Here is a 16,545-nt window from a genome sequence, read left to right as displayed (position 1 = left end):
GGTTTAATACACTGGAACGATTTGCAGATGATAAAGCCCAGATTCTCTGGGGAAACGTTGAAGATCTTTCATTCTGGAATTGAGAAAACATAATGTGATGCTCTGCCGCAACGCTACCTCACCACCCAATTCCTTTTGTTCTTTCCATTAATAACCGAGGGCAAGACTGGGGAATTTCTTTCTCCCCATCACCGACCATGTCAGACTCCTGCAGAGGTGGGGTGGGAAGCGTGCCTCTGCAGAGCGCTTCCACCTCCGTCTTCGCGGGGAGGGGAGACACGAGCACTCCCACAGCCAGCTCCGGCTCGGGTGCTGGGTGCAACCTAGAGGACTAAACACTGCTGCAGGTCTTGCTTTATATTTGTAAGTTCAGCTTCCCAAAATACAGGTTCCTTGTGATGCCATGCTTCTATCCTTTCATTATCATACATCTCTCATAACCGACCATCTGTTCCCTTTGGGGCATTTCCCGTTTAAGTTCTAGAGGCTTTTAGAAAAATACAGATCCACCATATGGATTAGCATTGTGGTATTGATGATATATTTCCACAGTGCATAACAGAACTTAAATTGAGGCTTTTTTTTAAATGCAGTGTTAACCCATGGTTTTTAAGTTAATCAGTATTTGAAACCGTGCTCTATCATTTGAATTCCCATTAGATTAAACTTATTTTTATGTTTTGTTAATTAACTATCTTCCACTTTGGCACACTGTAGGTGGTATCTTGGCCAACAAACAAAACTGCTTTGATGACTTTCAGTGTGCTGCTGAGTATCTGATCAAGGAAGGTTACACATCTCCCAAGAGGCTGACTATTAATGGAGGTTCAAATGGAGGCCTCTTAGTGGGTGAGTACTGGATTTTATTCATTGCACTTACTAGTTAGCCCTCTTGGGGTTTTCAGATACACCATCTGTAGGCAGCTCTTGACTTAACTTTGTGGATAGGACCACAAAGTGGTATAAGGAGAGCAAAACCCATTTGTACCATTTGTATTTGGGTATCTGATAAATGACATACGAAGAGACCCTATTTATTTTGCCTTGGGCAGGTCCTGAGATCTTGAACAAGTCCCTTAATCTCCCTCATCACTGTGAAAGCAAGTGGGGATGGGAGGAGGGGATACAGGGTTTCCAGAAAGTCCTCAAGCTTTTCAAGATTCACTTTGGGGAGTAAAGCTCCATTACTGATGAGAATCCCCACCCCCTCTGACAGATCTCAGAGTGGGTGGGGAGCTTTGGGGCTATTGGGCAGGTGATTTCTGATGGTTTCCTCTTGTGCTCTGGATAAATGCAACCAGGGCTCTGGAAGCATGTAAGTAAGTATTGCCTTGCCTTGTTTATGTAGATGTTTAATGATAGACTGCCTCCCTTTTCTTTCTACGTTGGGCTTTTAGCTGCTTGTGCAAATCAGAGACCTGACCTCTTTGGTTGTGTTATTGCCCAAGTTGGAGTAATGGACATGCTGAAGTTTCATAAATATACCATCGGCCATGCTTGGACCACTGATTATGGGTGCTCGGACAGCAAACAACACTTTGAATGGCTTGTCAAGTAAGGTTTTATTGACATATATATGTTGTTAGTGGTTTGATATAAAGTTGAACACAGTCACAGCAGGATTAGTGCTTGAGCTTTGTCACTGTCAGGGTCTTGCATTTGCATATAATCTGCTGGAGAGGAGATGGGACTACCTACTTGTCTTTCTTGATTTAATATGGTCTTGAACAAAAGCAACAAACTACAAAAAATGTGGTAGGGCAGAATTCTACAGATGGCCTCCCAAGATTCCTACCCTGGTTATTCAAACACTTACCTAGATACTGCTTGCTGTCAGGGAGCAGGATATTCATCTGCTGCTCTTTGGATTATCTCTTGAGGGGTCCCAAATCACATAAACCCTTAAAGGCTGAGCACATTCTCTGGCTGGAGTCAGGGATGCAGCAGAAAGGGAGGTCAGAGAAATTGGAAGCTTGTAAAGGATTCAGCCTGCCATTGCTGGTTTTGACAATGGAGGAAGGGGGACCTCTAGAACCTGAGAGCAACCCCCAACCAATAGCCATCAAGGAAACAGGACCTAAGTCCCACAGCCGCACAAAACTAAATTCTGCCAACATCCCGAGACTGCAAGTAGGTTTTTTCCAGAGTTTCCCCGTAAGAGTCCAACCAGCCAACACCTTGACTTTGACCTTCTTTGACCTTGGAAGACCCAGAGCAGAGAACCCAGCTGAGCCAACCCAGACTGCTGGCTTACAGAACTGTGAGATAAGAAGTCTGTGATGTTTCAAGCTGCTAAAATTTGTGGTAATTTGTTACTGTAACAATCAAAAGGTATTATTATACTTTATATCAAATATATGGGATTTCCTTTTCTAAATTAAGTAAAGAATATATGCTCCTGAAATGGCAGGTCAAGAGTAGGGGAAGGGGGTGTTGAGTATGGTGGCTCATACCTGTGATCCCAGCACTTTGGGAGGCCAAGGTAGATCACTTGAGCTTAGGAGTTCAAGACCAGTCCTTCATGGGCAATGTGGTGAAATACTGTACTGTCTCTACAAATAATTAGCTGGGCATGGTGATGCATGCTTGTAGTCCCAGCTACTCGCGAGGCTGAAATGGAAGGATGGCTTGAGCCTGGGGGGACAGTGAGCCAAGATCACACCACTGCATTCCAAGACCCTGTCTCAAAAAAAAAAAGGAATATATTCAAATACAATTAAACTTCTTTTATGCTCAATATAGCTACATATGTTTGAAACTGCAAGTTGCATTATTGAAATCTTACACAACTTCCATTGTATCCTGCAACCACTATGCTGATAACAATGAGTAAACAGACATTAAAACTTCTTTTTGGCCCTTCATTCCCCATATGTAAGAGTTTTATTTTTAATCACCAGTGTTTGGCTCTCAGACTGGCACAAGAAGCCTGTTCCTCCTATTAGTAAACTACAAATTTTGATGAAAATAACTTTAGTTTCTAAAGTTTTGTTTTTTTGAGACAGAGTCTTGCTCTGTCACCCAGGCTGGAGTGGAATGGCGCCATCTCGGCTCACTGCAACATCGCCTCCTGGGTACAAGCAGTTCTCAGTTCTCATGCTTCAGCCACCTGAGTAGCTGGGACGACAGGTGCGCACCACCGCACACGGCCAAGTTTCTAAAGTTTGCTCTTTCATTTTGTTTGCTTTTTATGGCTAGCCTCTCCAGTTTGAAATATACTTAAAATGACTGAATTTTTTTTAACTGGATACTTTACTAAACTCTATTCTCTAAGGGGAAACAAAGTTCACTATGAAAGTTATTACTTTTCAGTACATGCAGGCCTCATTGACACACATTGGTAGAAGCTATATATTTGAAGAAGGAATATCTAACTTAGAGAAAATTTGCACGTAAGGAAACAAGTCCTATTTAAACTCATTTGAAAATACTGAGTTAATTGAAGGCAAAAGAATATTAGATGACACCTAATACTTTCAAACTTAATTTAAAAACAAAGAAAGTTCTAAATATTTTTCTCCATGATGTTCCTTCTTCAGTTTTCAAATCTTGCTCTCACAGGGCTGCATTTCACCTGCGGCTGGTAAAATGAGCATGGAACTCAGCCCACACTAGCTAGGAAGGGTCCTACAGGGAGCTCCTCAAGCCCAGCACACCTCCCCGCCCCCTGGGCTGTGCCTCATGGAGCACCATCCAGAATTAGTAAAAGGTGTTTCCCCAAAAAAAGAGCTAGAGCTCCAAGTTTGAATGGCTGGGCGATAAATAAAGCCTAATGTATTTTTTCCTACAGATAATGTATAAATATTGCATGTGAATCTCCAAGGGGGAGATTGTTATTATTAACAGGCAGGGTTTTCCAAACTTGTTTCTTTTTAGAACTAACCCATATTTGGAAGAATGGGGCTGGTCAAAAGACACTCTTAAATGAGATCAGAAAACAGATCTCCATCTTATCTGGTGGGAAACTGAGCCCAAGAATGTTTTGGCCTCACGTTGGTTAACTGAGCAGAATTTTTACTGTTTTCACTATTTACCTACCCTTCAAAATAAAACTCTACTAAAACAGGTGATTTTATTCATTAATAAATATTAAATACATTGAAAAACATGACACCCCTATTAGGAGAATGTAAAGAAAAAATATCCAGATATTTCAACTATTATCAGTCACTGTTAAAATCAACATTACTTTTATACTTAACACCCTTTTTGTTAACTTACCCAGGAAACTTGCCTGGTACTTCGGAAGGTGCCCTCCTCCTCTGGCAAAGTCTGTTGCTTTCTGCCGGACTGAGAGCCAGCAGGAGGCTCAACAGCCCATCCAGGTTTCTCGGTTTACAAAGAAACTAGGCCCAGAGAGGACATGTGCTTTTCCTAAGATTGCAAAACTGAGCCTGGAATAAAGGCTTTATAGATGTTATTAAAGGGGCAGCAAGCCCCTTTATACTGTGGATTTCAAGTTTCTCAACAAAAGAAAGGCTTGGACTTTTTTTGAACCACTGAGTGTGGTTATAATGACAATTATTACTCCACTTTGTAGCAGTAAAAAAAAAGCCTAGAGAATATGAAACTACTCACCTTAAGAGACAGTAAGCATGCCTGTGATTTGGGTTGTTTCAACAGACCTGTGAGCTTCCTTCCTACAGTCTTTCAAAGTTGGAGCCACATAAATGACACAGCTCCCCAGTTTCCAGGAGCCCTTGCCAGTCATGGCCTAAATGGTAACGCATAGGCACAGTCCATGGTGGTCACTCACGTACTAGTTAACTGCAGTCCTCACTGCTAATTAACTACCTAGGTCCCTGTGCCATAAAACTCTACTGTTGCTCTCCAGCCTCACAAAGGTGTTTTTGCCTTCCAGATACTCTCCATTGCATAATGTGAAGTTACCAGAAGCAGATGACATCCAGTACCCGTCCATGCTGCTCCTCACTGCTGACCATGATGACCGCGTGGTCCCGCTTCACTCCCTGAAGTTCATTGCCACCCTTCAGTACATCGTGGGCCGCAGCAGGAAGCAAAGCAACCCCCTGCTTATCCACGTGGACACCAAGGCGGGCCACGGGGCGGGGAAGCCCACAGCCAAAGTGATAGAGGAAGTCTCAGACATGTTTGCGTTCATCGCGCGGTGCCTGAACGTCGACTGGATTCCATAAACAGTTTTCGTGCTTCCTCCTGACAGCGACAGAAAACCTCAAGGGCTTTCCCACGTTGACACCAAGAAACCACTGGGCATAATGCTTCCCCACGGGAACATTATTCCTGCACTCACAGGCTACAGTTGAACAGAACTGCCGTGGGAATTTTATCTTTTTTAGGCTTCTCCTTTTTAGCAAGGCCTTGGTGTTTCTTTTTCCACCCTGTCTAGGCACATGTGGTTTTTTGGTGTTTTTTTTAAGGGCATGTTGGGATAAATAGCTAAATGGCAACAAACACATTGTGAATATTAGATTGCTGAATTAAGGATCATAGTCGGGCATACTTATCTATATCCATAACCTCTATATCTTTAAATAAATGTGAGAACTGTTCTCATGGAGAAGACTTCTTTGCAACAATAATAAATGTTATTTAAGAATGACAGGCTTTTACTTCCGGTTTCTTCATATTGAGGGGCAACTCCAGAAGTGGAGTTTTCTGTGAGAATAAAGCATTTCACCTTTCTGCAACAAGTTAGTTTTCAAGCAGTTAAGTCATAGAATGTTTGTTAGCTTTGAAAATAAGTTGTTCATCCACTCTGTCTCCCTTGTTTGTTTGTTTGTTAGAGGTGATGAAGCTGTCAGAGGGGGTTCACTGTCATAAACAAACACTGACCACTTAGTTGGGTAAAAATCTGATCTGGGGCTCTTTTGGTTTGGATGCCTCCTTTCAAAAATCACTGGGCTGGAAAATTCAGATTATTCACCTATTTGTATATTGATTTGTTTACAAAGTATTCCTAGAAATCAGAGTTCCTTGGATCCAAGGATCCTTGGTTCCAAGAGATCACATGAGTAAATTATCCAAACAAACAGATACATATATCCAAGCATTTCTTACAGTCAGAAATTTCAGCATTTCCCAAGCTGTTTCTCCTGCATAGATCACTCCTGGAAATAGAAATAGTCATACTTACTTACTGGAAAAAAAAAAAAAAAAGTTTTGGTTTGCCCACCCCCAAGATTTTTAAGATATACTATTCCTTAAACTTTCATCCATAAAATTTTTTTCAAGGCATATATTTTAACATTTCATGAAACAATGTTCCTTTGAGTATCAGTTTGGGAAATGCTGATCTAACTTAAAACAGTTTTTTTTCCTTTGTCTTGCTTTATCAGATGATATGATAAAAATTATTATTTTATATAGTATCTTAACCTTATATAAAATAGCTTAAAAGATTACTTCATTATTCCAATAATTTGTACTTTTCCAAGTAAGTCCCATCTTCCAAGTTGTATATGTATGTGCTTTTAAGAGCACTCTCTCATTCTCTACGTTTCAAGTTATGGTCAAAAATTAGACATACCATTTTCTATCAAGCATATCACTGCATACCAAGCATATTGAAAGACAGCTATATGGCTTGGTTTTTCTCTACTGGAATCATGTTTTCCGTTACTATTTAGTACGGTACATAATACAGTTGTCATTGAGTATAAGATTCACCATAACTCCTCTGGAAACAAAGTGTGCCAGTAGCTAGTGTTGCATGCTGAGACTCTGTCGTCATCACCATCTACTCAGATACTGATACTAGCTAGCTTTGGTGTAACTGCTGACCAGCATGGCAGGAAAGAAAGAAAATACATTTGCATGGTCAAGCCAGAGGCAGCCTCTTTCCTAGACTAGCTGTGTGGTGTGAAGTACAAATAGCTGAGTTGGACCCACTGAGTCCAGAGCATTTTCAAGGTTGCACAGAATCTAACCATACTTTCTGAGGTCTGCTTTACAGCAGAAAATACAGTGTGTAGTGTGTGAGCTTCAGATATCAGGACTGGGTTCAAATCCCAAATGTCACTTAGCAACTGATGAGGAGGAGGAGGAATACAGTAATACGTTTTTAATGCCTAGCATGATTGGCCTCCAGTTACGAGTTCTCTTTTCCAACCTAATTTTTGTGTCTAGATTTTCACAGGACAACTAATCCCACCAACTAAAGGTATTTTGGGGAGTAGGGGGAGCTTTAAACATTAGAAATAAGACTTGAGATTGGGCTCCTACCCAGAACTCTAAGGGATTCTTCTCTATTTGATCCCACTTTTCTGTATCCTGTGCTCTGCCCTTTGGCTCTTTCTTATGATTACTCTCTTCTAGCTATTTTGAAATGCACAGTAGATTATTGTAAACTATAGACACCCTACTGATCTAACACTAGGTCTTCTTTCAAACTGTATATTTGTAGGCATTAATCTCTTCATCCTCCCTTTCTCTGCCTGCTTTTTTAGCTCCCACATGAGTGGAGAACATGGGATATTTGTCTTCCTGTGCCTGGCTTATTTCACTTACCATATTGACCTTCAGTTCCATCCATGTTGCTGCAAATGACAGGATCTCAGTCTTTTTCATGGCTAAATCATATTCCATTGTATATATGTACCACATTTTCTTCATCTGTTCATCTGCTGATGGGCACGTGGGTTGATTCCCTATCTTGGCTGTTGTGGATAGTGCTGCAGTAGACACAGGAGTGCAGATATCTTTTTGATATACTGATTTCCTTTCTTTTGGATTCATACCCAGTAGTGGAATTGCTCGATCACAGAGGACTTATATGTTTAGTTTTTTTAGGACTGTTTTGAAAAAGAAAAAGTTGTACATGTTGCACAGGTGGCCTCACTGCTTTGTCACAAGGCCCTGCTAAGCACACCAGAGCATTTGTTACCTTAGCAAGATAAAGTCACATTTATGTTCACTATGGACTTACCTGGAATATTATAAAACTTTCCAATTAATCATGTTTCTTAAATACTCCCACTAAAGCTTAAGCAGCTACACACACATGGTGCTACAAGTTTGAAAAGGATAAGTTTCAACTAAGGAAGCCTGTCACCAGTCTCTCAAGGTTTGTCAGTTTTACCAGCCTCTGGAAGTTCCCAGCAGGCCACATAGCTAATGCCCAGAAGGAGTTGCAAAGACTCAAAGGCAGGTTAAGGACAGGCTGGAAAGCTGTGGAGGTTGCTGTAAAGAGGCAAAGGTCATACTGTTGGGGTGGTCAGGCCAGTGGGATGAGGACTGAGGCCCTTGAAGGAGGAACATTGAGCCATTCTCATCCTCCATATCTCAGGGGCTGAAGGTGCAGAGAGAAAATGTCCTGCCCTCATCCAGTTGATATTCCAGGGAGGAGACAGATGGTAAATTATCTTGCTCATGTTTACCCTGTGCCACCCGCTGCAAGCACTCTGTGTGGATGAATGTTTGTCCTCACACAACCTTAGGAAGCACATAATACCTTTTCCCCATTTGGCAAAGGTCCAAGTTCCCCAGCCAGGAGGTGGGCAGGCAGGGCAGTAACCCCAGGAGCTGGGCCTTGGATACTGCACTCTTTTTTTGGGATGGAGTTTTGCTGTTACGGCCCAGGCTGGAGTGCAATGGCGCTATCTCAGCTTACTGCAACCTCCACCTCTTGGGTTCACGTGATTCTCCTGCCTCAGCCTTCCCAGTAGCTGGTATTACAGGCGCATACCATCATTCCCGGCTAATCTTTTTGTATTTTTAGTAGAGATGGGGTTTCACCATGTTGGCCAGGCTGGTCTTGAACTCCTGACCTCAGGTGATCCACCCACCTCAGCCTCCCAAAATGCTGGGATTACAGGCATGAGCCACCATGCCCAGCCGAAACAGCTCTCTTACTGCTGTTGTCTGAGTGTTTATGTCCTCCCCGAAATGTATATGTTGAAATCGTAAATCCCAAAGTGATGGAATTAGGAGGCAGGGCCTTCAGGAGGCGATGGGTCATGAGAGCGGAATCCTCATGAATGGGACTGGTGCCTTTATATTAGAGCCCAAGGAGAGACCCCCCCGCCCCATCCCTTCCACCATGTGAGGACACAGGAGACGGTGTCACCTATGAACCAGGAAGCAACCCTCATTAGACACCAAATCTGCCAGTGCCTTGATCTTAGATGTCCCAGACTCTAGGACTGTGAGAGAGCAATTTCTGTTGTTGACAACCCACCAGTTTATGGTATTTTCTTATAGCAGCTTAAACAGACTAAGATACCCACGAGTCTATTAACAAGATAATAAACAAAGTATAATTTCAGGAATTAACAAGAAACAGGAATAAAAAGAGCTGTGAAGAAACAAAGTGGGGCAAATGAATAGTCCGTGAGAAGGAATGCTATTTGAGTCGAGGTCAGGGTGCCTCTTTCAGGAAGCAACATTCGGACAAAGACCCGAACGGAATGAGGGGACAAACAATGGGCAACGTTTTGGGGGTTGGTGAGGACAGCAGCAATGGGCAGAGCCTGAGGCAGGAACCAGCCAGGCCTTTGGAGGAAGAGCAGGAAGCCAGTGTGGGGGGAACAGGGAGCCAGGCGAGGCCTGGAGGATACACTAGAGATGGCAGGCAGCTCAGTCAGGTGAAGCCACTGAGAGATGAAAGCCGACAACACTGTGGGAAACTGACAGCAGGAGAGCCTAGGGAAAAGCGGGGTGGTTATTCAAAGAGCAGGTTGCTTAGCACCTTTAAGGAATTTTGGGGGTGGGGGCAGCAGGAACCCACCATCACAAAAATCACTGACATGCCATATCATGGATGAATCTCAAAAACATTATAAGTGAAAGAAGCCAGACACAAATGACTGGGTATAGTCTGATTAAGTGAAATATCCTGAAAAGGCAGTTCTATAAAGATAGAATGTAGATTAGTGGGTACCTGGAGTTGGTGGTGAAGATGGTAATTAACTACTTGGGCATAAAGGATCTAACCGGGATGACAAAAATGTTCTAAAACTGGATTTCAGTAACGGTTGCACAACCTGGTAAATGTATTAAAAAGTCATTGAATTGTACACTTGAAATGTATGAATTTTATGGTTTGTAAATCATAATGTTATCGAAATAATCTCTGGTAGTGAAATAAAGAGAAAAAAGAGCAATGACCCTTTCTGGATGAGTGCCATCCAGGAATAGCCACCTGGAGAACTGCAGAGTCAAGTAAGAAAGGCAGGTGACCAGGGGCAACTGAGATAAAAGCTTGCATATCAGGCTTAGGCAAAGAGGATGAGGGCTATTTTGAGCAGCCGTCTTTAGGTCAGGGTTCACATTTGCAGGCAAAACTGTCCCTCTCTCTCTCTGAGTTTGCTCCTGTAGATCAAATATCAGGCCGGCTGATAGGGTGTCCTGAGAATATGCCCTGCATCCACCTTACAGGCTTTGCTCTGCTCAGGAGCTCAGGGCCTCCTGCAGCCACGTGACCGCAGCACTGAGAAGCAGGCAGGGGGAGGCACGGGCAAGGAGGGTTCGTTCAATGCCAAGTAAGTGACTAAGGAAGCTCTTGTTTACTGTGCAAGAGAAAATGACTTGGTGGCCATTTGTGGAGGTTATTAATGCCAAATAATCTAGAAATTATAAACAAAATATCATAATGGTAATATATGATTTAGAAACTGATTTACATCTAATTGACACAATATTATAGTGTCTTCCAGTTCCAAAGTATGAAAGGCTTTGAGAAACATCAGAGGAAAGAGCTTCCAGTCACCTCTATGGAGAGTCAAACTGAGGTTAACCTGAAAACCAAATCAGCATCAAAACATAACCACCCTAAAACTCCAGAGAAAATGATGGAAGTTAATACAGGTAGCACTGAGTTATTTCCCCAGGACATTCAGGTGTTGGCGCTGTGATTGGCATTTTTCCAGAGGACCAGGTTGCCTGCAACCTCAGGCCCCAGAAGATGCAGGAACCTGAACACCAGGGCCACCCCCTGCTCTGTCACTACTCTGGTCTTGCCTTGGAGTGTGAAATGCTGCAATTCATCCAAGATACAGTCATGCAGCATATAACATTTCTGCATATGACTGCATGTATAATGATAGTCCCATAAGATTATAACAAGCTGAAAAATTCCTATCACCTAATGACATCATAGCCACCATCATGTCGCAGTGCAACACACATGTGTTTGTGGTGATACTGTTGTAAACAGACCTACTGCAGTGCCGGTCATATAAAAGTCTAGCACATACAAGTATGTACAGTACCTAATACTTGATCATAACAGCTGTTCCTAGTTTACGTGTTCACTATATTATAGTTTTTTATCATTTTGAAGTATACTCCTAAAAACAAAAAAAGGCTACCCTGTAAGACAGTCTCAGGCAAGTCCTTCAGGAGGTTTTCCAGAAGTAGTCACTGTTATAGGAGATCACAGCTCCATGAGCGTTACTGGCCCTGAAGACCTTGGAAGGATGTGAAGTGGAAGACAATGAGCAATATTGATGATCCTAACCCTGTGTAGGCCTAGGCTAAAGTGTGTGTTTGTGTCTTAGTTAACAAAAAAAGTTTAAAAAAATATATATACATGAAAAAAGAATAGTTTTGTATAGCTGTACAATATATGTGTTTTAAACTAAGTGTTATTATTTATTTATTTATTTATTTATTTATTTAGACAGAGTTTCCCTCTTGTCACCCAGGCTGGAGTGCAGTGGTGTGATCTCAGCTCACTGCAACCTCCACCTCCTGGGTTCCAGCGATTCTCCTGCCTCAGCCTCCCGAGTAGCTGGGATTACAGGCGCCCACCACCACACCCAGGTAATTTTTATATTTTTAGTAGAGACAGGGTTACACCATATTGACCAGGTTGGTCTCGAACTCCTGACCTCAGGTGATCCACGCCCCTCGGCCTCCGAAAGTGCTAGGATTGCAGGCACGAGCCACCGCGCACCAGCCAAGGTTATGCAGTTTTAGCAAGAATACCCCAGATGTGACATTGTGCTCTTCTCAGTGCATCCTATTGGGGGCACATGGTGTTCATATGTCTTATTCCTGGTGACATCAATTTGGATCACTTGGTTAAGGTGGTGTCTGCCTAGTCTCTCTACTGTAAAGTGACTATTTTTCCCTCTTAAAGATTACCTTAAAATTTAAGGTAAGTTGTATTTTTTGTCTTAATTCAGATGCATATTTAAATACCACTTTTGGAAAAATATTTCAGACAAATTATAATAAAAATTTATATAAATAAGGTTCCTGTGTGTCCTGTCTCAAATAGTTGTTACCATGTGTTCTGTCCCTAAGCCTGGACGATGTCTTGATTTTTTCCTTCTTAAATCCAGTTGTCAGCGAGTTCTACCAGATTTTACCTTCTAAATTTCCCTCAAATGTATCCACATCTCTCTATCCTCACCATGCTTCATAATTGCTCTCCCTGACTCCAAGGTTTATTCCTTTCAGATTCTACTCCAGGGCTTTATACAAGTGAGTAAGATCAGGTCAACTCCTGTTTTAAGCCTTCTGTGGCTTCTCTTAAGCAGAGACAATCTCTGCAGCAAAGCCTGGGATGGGCCCTCCAGGATGAACTGGTGGTAGAATAATCTAGGCAGCTGAACAAGTTAATCTCCCAGCTGCAGATCAGAATCAGCCACAGAGCTTATTAAAGCTATAAATCCATTGGGTCCTACCCACAGAGATTCTGACTCAGAAGGAACCAAGATCTGCTGTTTAACAAGCTCCCCAGGTGATTCCAATTTGGAGGTCAACTGAGAAATTACTGACTTAACACAGCAAAATGATGTCAGTTCTGATGTTGGTTCCCAGGAGGAACTTTTTCCTCCATTTTTCAACTTTCTGTAATGCTGTTGCAATTCTGCTATAATTTCTAAATACATCTTTAAAAGTTATACTAAAGGTTTTATTTAAAAATCAGCAAAATATGTACTCTTTGCATATTCTAACTTCTGTTGAATTTGCACATATTACAAGAATGTTCTTTTTCTTAAGAATGGTGATCATTTCCTAAGACTCATTATATTTAAATCCCTAGTGATATGCATATAATCCTCTTGGGATCATGATATGTAGTTCTATTGTCCTATTTTAAAGATCCCAGTGTCCAGCAAAGAACATTTACCAAGCTCTGGTTCCCATATTTTAAAATTTAGGTGGAGCCCTGTGCATGGCTGTGGAGTAGACAAATATAGCCATTCACCTAGTGCTAAAAATGTATTTTTAGTCATTCCCAATTTTTTTTTTCTTGAAATGGAGTCTTCCTTTGTCACCTAGGCTGGAGTGCAATGGTGCGATCTCGGCTCACTGCCACCTCTGCCTCCTAGGTTCAAGCAATTCTTCTGCCTCAGCCTCCAGAGTAGCTAGGACAACAGGTGCCCACCACCACACCCAGCTAATTTTTACATTTTTAGTAGAGATGAGGTTTCTCCATGTTGGCCAGGCTGGTCTTGAACTCCTCTGACCTCAGGTGATTCACCCACCTAGGCCTCCCAAAATGATGGGATTACAGACCTGAGCCACCATGACCAGCCCCAATACTTTGAAATTTAAATAAAAATTCAGCAATTTCCAAAACCAATTCTATCAAGCAATTATTTCTATCAAGTTCATTACCTGTGCCAGACTTATGAATGCCTCAGCATAATTCCCTACATGGTAACCTTTAGCCTCATTTCTAAGATAGCAAAATACATGGTCCACCAATGAATTTTAAAGTTCAACTTAAATATATAAAAAATAATATATAATATTAATATATTAATTTATAATATATGGTATATTATATATTAAACATTAAATAATGTGGATTATTTATTATTCCAGTATTAGGATGAGAGGTACACTGAAAGCCCAGAATCCGCCACTATGCAACATATGTAAGAAATCTGTACTTTACCCCCTAAATCGATAAAGATAAAAACATATTTAAATCTATATAGAGATAAAATGTGAACCAATATTTTATCTCCCAACAAAATAAGAGGAGTGGCATCTAATCTGATTTTTTTTTTCAGTCAACATGTACCTCCCTCCACTTCTCCTGATCTCACAGGTTTTGCACTTGAATGCGCTGGGGAAATGCTGGCAGAGAGGAGATGGGGAGTAGAGGAGTCTCAGTAGATATTGGCTTGTGATCGTTTGTACTTCCCAGTTCCCTAAATCCTCTGCTCTAAGTCAGAACCACTGCAGAATGTGACTCTTTTGTAGGTCTAGAGCTAACTCATTCACCACCTGTTCCTTTATATTTTTTCTTGTGGCAAAAATACACACATAGACACACATATGCATGTATTTTTAAGACTATTTTTAAGCAGTATTGGGTTCACAGCAATATTAAAGAGGAATGTAGAGACTTCCCATATATCCCCTCCCCCCACACATGACATAGGCTCCCCCATTATCAACATCCCCCACCTCAGAGGTACATCTATTCTAACTGATGAACTTACATTGACAGATTATAATCACCCAAAGTCCATAGTTTACATTAGGGTTCACTCTTGGTGTTGTACATTCTGTGGGTTTGGAAAAATGTATAATGACACGAACCTATCATTTTAGTATCATACAGTGCATTTTCTCTGTCCTGAAAATCCTCTGTACTCCATATTCATCCTCCCTAACCCTTGGAAACCCCTGGTCCTTTTACTGTCTCCATGGTTTTGCCTTTTCAGAATGCCATATAGTTGGAATTTTACAGAATGTAGCCTTTTCAGATTGGCTTCTTTCACTTAGTAATACACGTTTGAGTTTTCTCCATGTCTTTTCATGGCTTGATAGCGAATTTCCTTTTAGTTCTGAAATATATTCCCATTACCTGTGTGTACTATAGTTTATTTATCCACCCACCTACTGAAGGACATCTTGGTGGCTTCCCAGTTTTGACAGTTATGAATAAACTGCTATAAACACCCACGCACAAGTTTTGTGTGGACGTAAGTTTAACTCCTTTGAGTAAATACCAAGGAACACAATTGCTGGACTGTAAAAGAGAATGTTTAGTTTTGTAAGAAACTGGCAACTGTCTTCCAAAGTGGCTGCATCATTTTGCATCCCCACCAGCGATGAATGAGAGCTCCTGTTGGTCCACATTCTGGCCAGCATTTGTCAGTATTACAGATTTCGGCCATCCTGATAGGCATGTAGTGGTATTTGTTTTTTGTGTGTGTGTTTCCCTGATAACATGTGATGTGGAGCATCTTTTTTTTTTTGAGGTGGAGTCTTTCTCTGTCGCCCAGGCTGGGGTGCAGTGGAGTGATCTTGGCTCACTGCAACCTCGGCCTCCTGGGTTCAAGCAATTCTCCTGCCTCAGCCTCCCAAGTAGCTGGGATTACAGGCGTGAGCCACCATACCTGGCCGGAGCATCTTTTTATATGCTTATTTGTCATCTGTATATCTTCTTTGGTGAGATATCTGTTAAGGTATTTCGCCCATTTTTTATGGGCCAAAGAGGAATTTCTACATTCCTCTTTAATTTTGCTGTGAACCCAATACTGCTTGTTTGTTTGTTTTCTTATTCTTGAATATTAAGAGTTCTTTGTATATTTTGGATTATAGTCTCTTATAAGACTTTTGCAAATATTTTCTCCTAGTCTATGACTTGTCTTCTCATTTTCTCAACATTGTATTTCACAGAGCACTTTCTCATTTTCATAAAGTCCAACTTACCATTTCTTCCACAAATCATGCCTTTGGTGTTATATCTTAAAAGTAATCTCTATCCCCAAGGTCATTTAGATTTTCTCCTGTGTTACCTTCTAGGACTTTTATAGTTTTCCATTTTATATTTAGGTCTGTGATCCATTTGAGTTAATTTCTGTGAAGGGTGTAAGGTCTATGTTTAATTTTTTTTTTTTTTTTGGCCCGTGGAATTCCAGTTGTTCCAGCATCATTTGTTGAAAAGACTGTCTTTCTTCATTGTATTGCCTTTGCTCCTTTGCCAATGTAAGATGACTAGATTTATATGGGTCTATTTCTGGATTGTCTGTTCTGTTCCATTGATCTATTTGCCTGTTCTTTTGGCAATGCCACACTGTCTTGATTACTGTAGTTTATAGTAAGTCTTGAAGTCAGGCAGTGTCAGTCCTCAAACTTTGTTATTCTCATTCAAAATTGTGTTGACTATTCTGGATATTTTGTTTCTTCATATAAACTTTAGAATCAGTTTGTTAATAGCCTCAAAATAAGTTTCTGGGATTTTGATTGAGATTGCATTGAATGTATAGATTAAGTTGAAAAGAACTTTTTTTTTTTTTTTTTTTTTTTTTTGGAGACAGAGTCTCACTTTGTCACCTAGGCTGGAGTGCAGTGGCATGATCACAGCTCACTGCAGCCTCAATCTTCTGGATTCAAGCAATCCTCCTGCCTCCAGCCCCCAAGTAGCTGGGACTACAGGTGCATGCAATCATGCCTGGCTAAGTTTTATATTTTTTGTAGAGACAGGGTTTTGCCATGTTGCCCAGGCTGGTCTCAAACTCCTCAGCTCGAGATCTGCCTGTCTCAGTGTCCCAAATTGCTGGGATTACAGGCGTGAGTCACTGCTCCTGGTCGGAACCAACATCTTAGTGGAATTAGTTTTCCTATCCATGTACATGGAATATCAGTCAA

General features: G+C 41.4%; 1 protein-coding gene and 1 long non-coding RNA gene across 2 annotated transcripts in view; one reads left to right on the top strand and one right to left on the bottom strand.

The window, feature by feature from the left end:
- Positions 1–10,082, top strand: part of PREP (prolyl endopeptidase) — a 129,865-nt gene extending 119,783 nt beyond the window's left edge. The window contains exons 13-15 of the mRNA NM_002726.5: positions 718–849; positions 1,398–1,554; positions 4,862–10,082. Of these exons, the coding sequence (NP_002717.3) occupies positions 718–849; positions 1,398–1,554; positions 4,862–5,156 (584 nt within the window). The 3' untranslated portion in view covers positions 5,157–10,082. The remainder of the gene's footprint in view (positions 1–717; positions 850–1,397; positions 1,555–4,861) is intronic.
- PREP-AS1 (PREP antisense RNA 1) lies at positions 1,544–4,284 on the bottom strand. Its single transcript, NR_199037.1, has 2 exons — positions 4,222–4,284; positions 1,544–2,679 (listed from the first exon to the last, which is right to left on the bottom strand). It is a non-coding gene; the product is annotated as a PREP antisense RNA 1 (long non-coding RNA).
- Positions 10,083–16,545: the final 6,463 nt, after the last annotated feature.

The sequence above is a fragment of the Homo sapiens genome, chromosome 6 (genome assembly GCF_000001405.40).
Source record: "Homo sapiens chromosome 6, GRCh38.p14 Primary Assembly".
NCBI classification, from domain to species: domain Eukaryota; kingdom Metazoa; phylum Chordata; class Mammalia; order Primates; family Hominidae; genus Homo; species Homo sapiens.
This window is presented reverse-complemented; position numbering and strand designations above follow the sequence as displayed.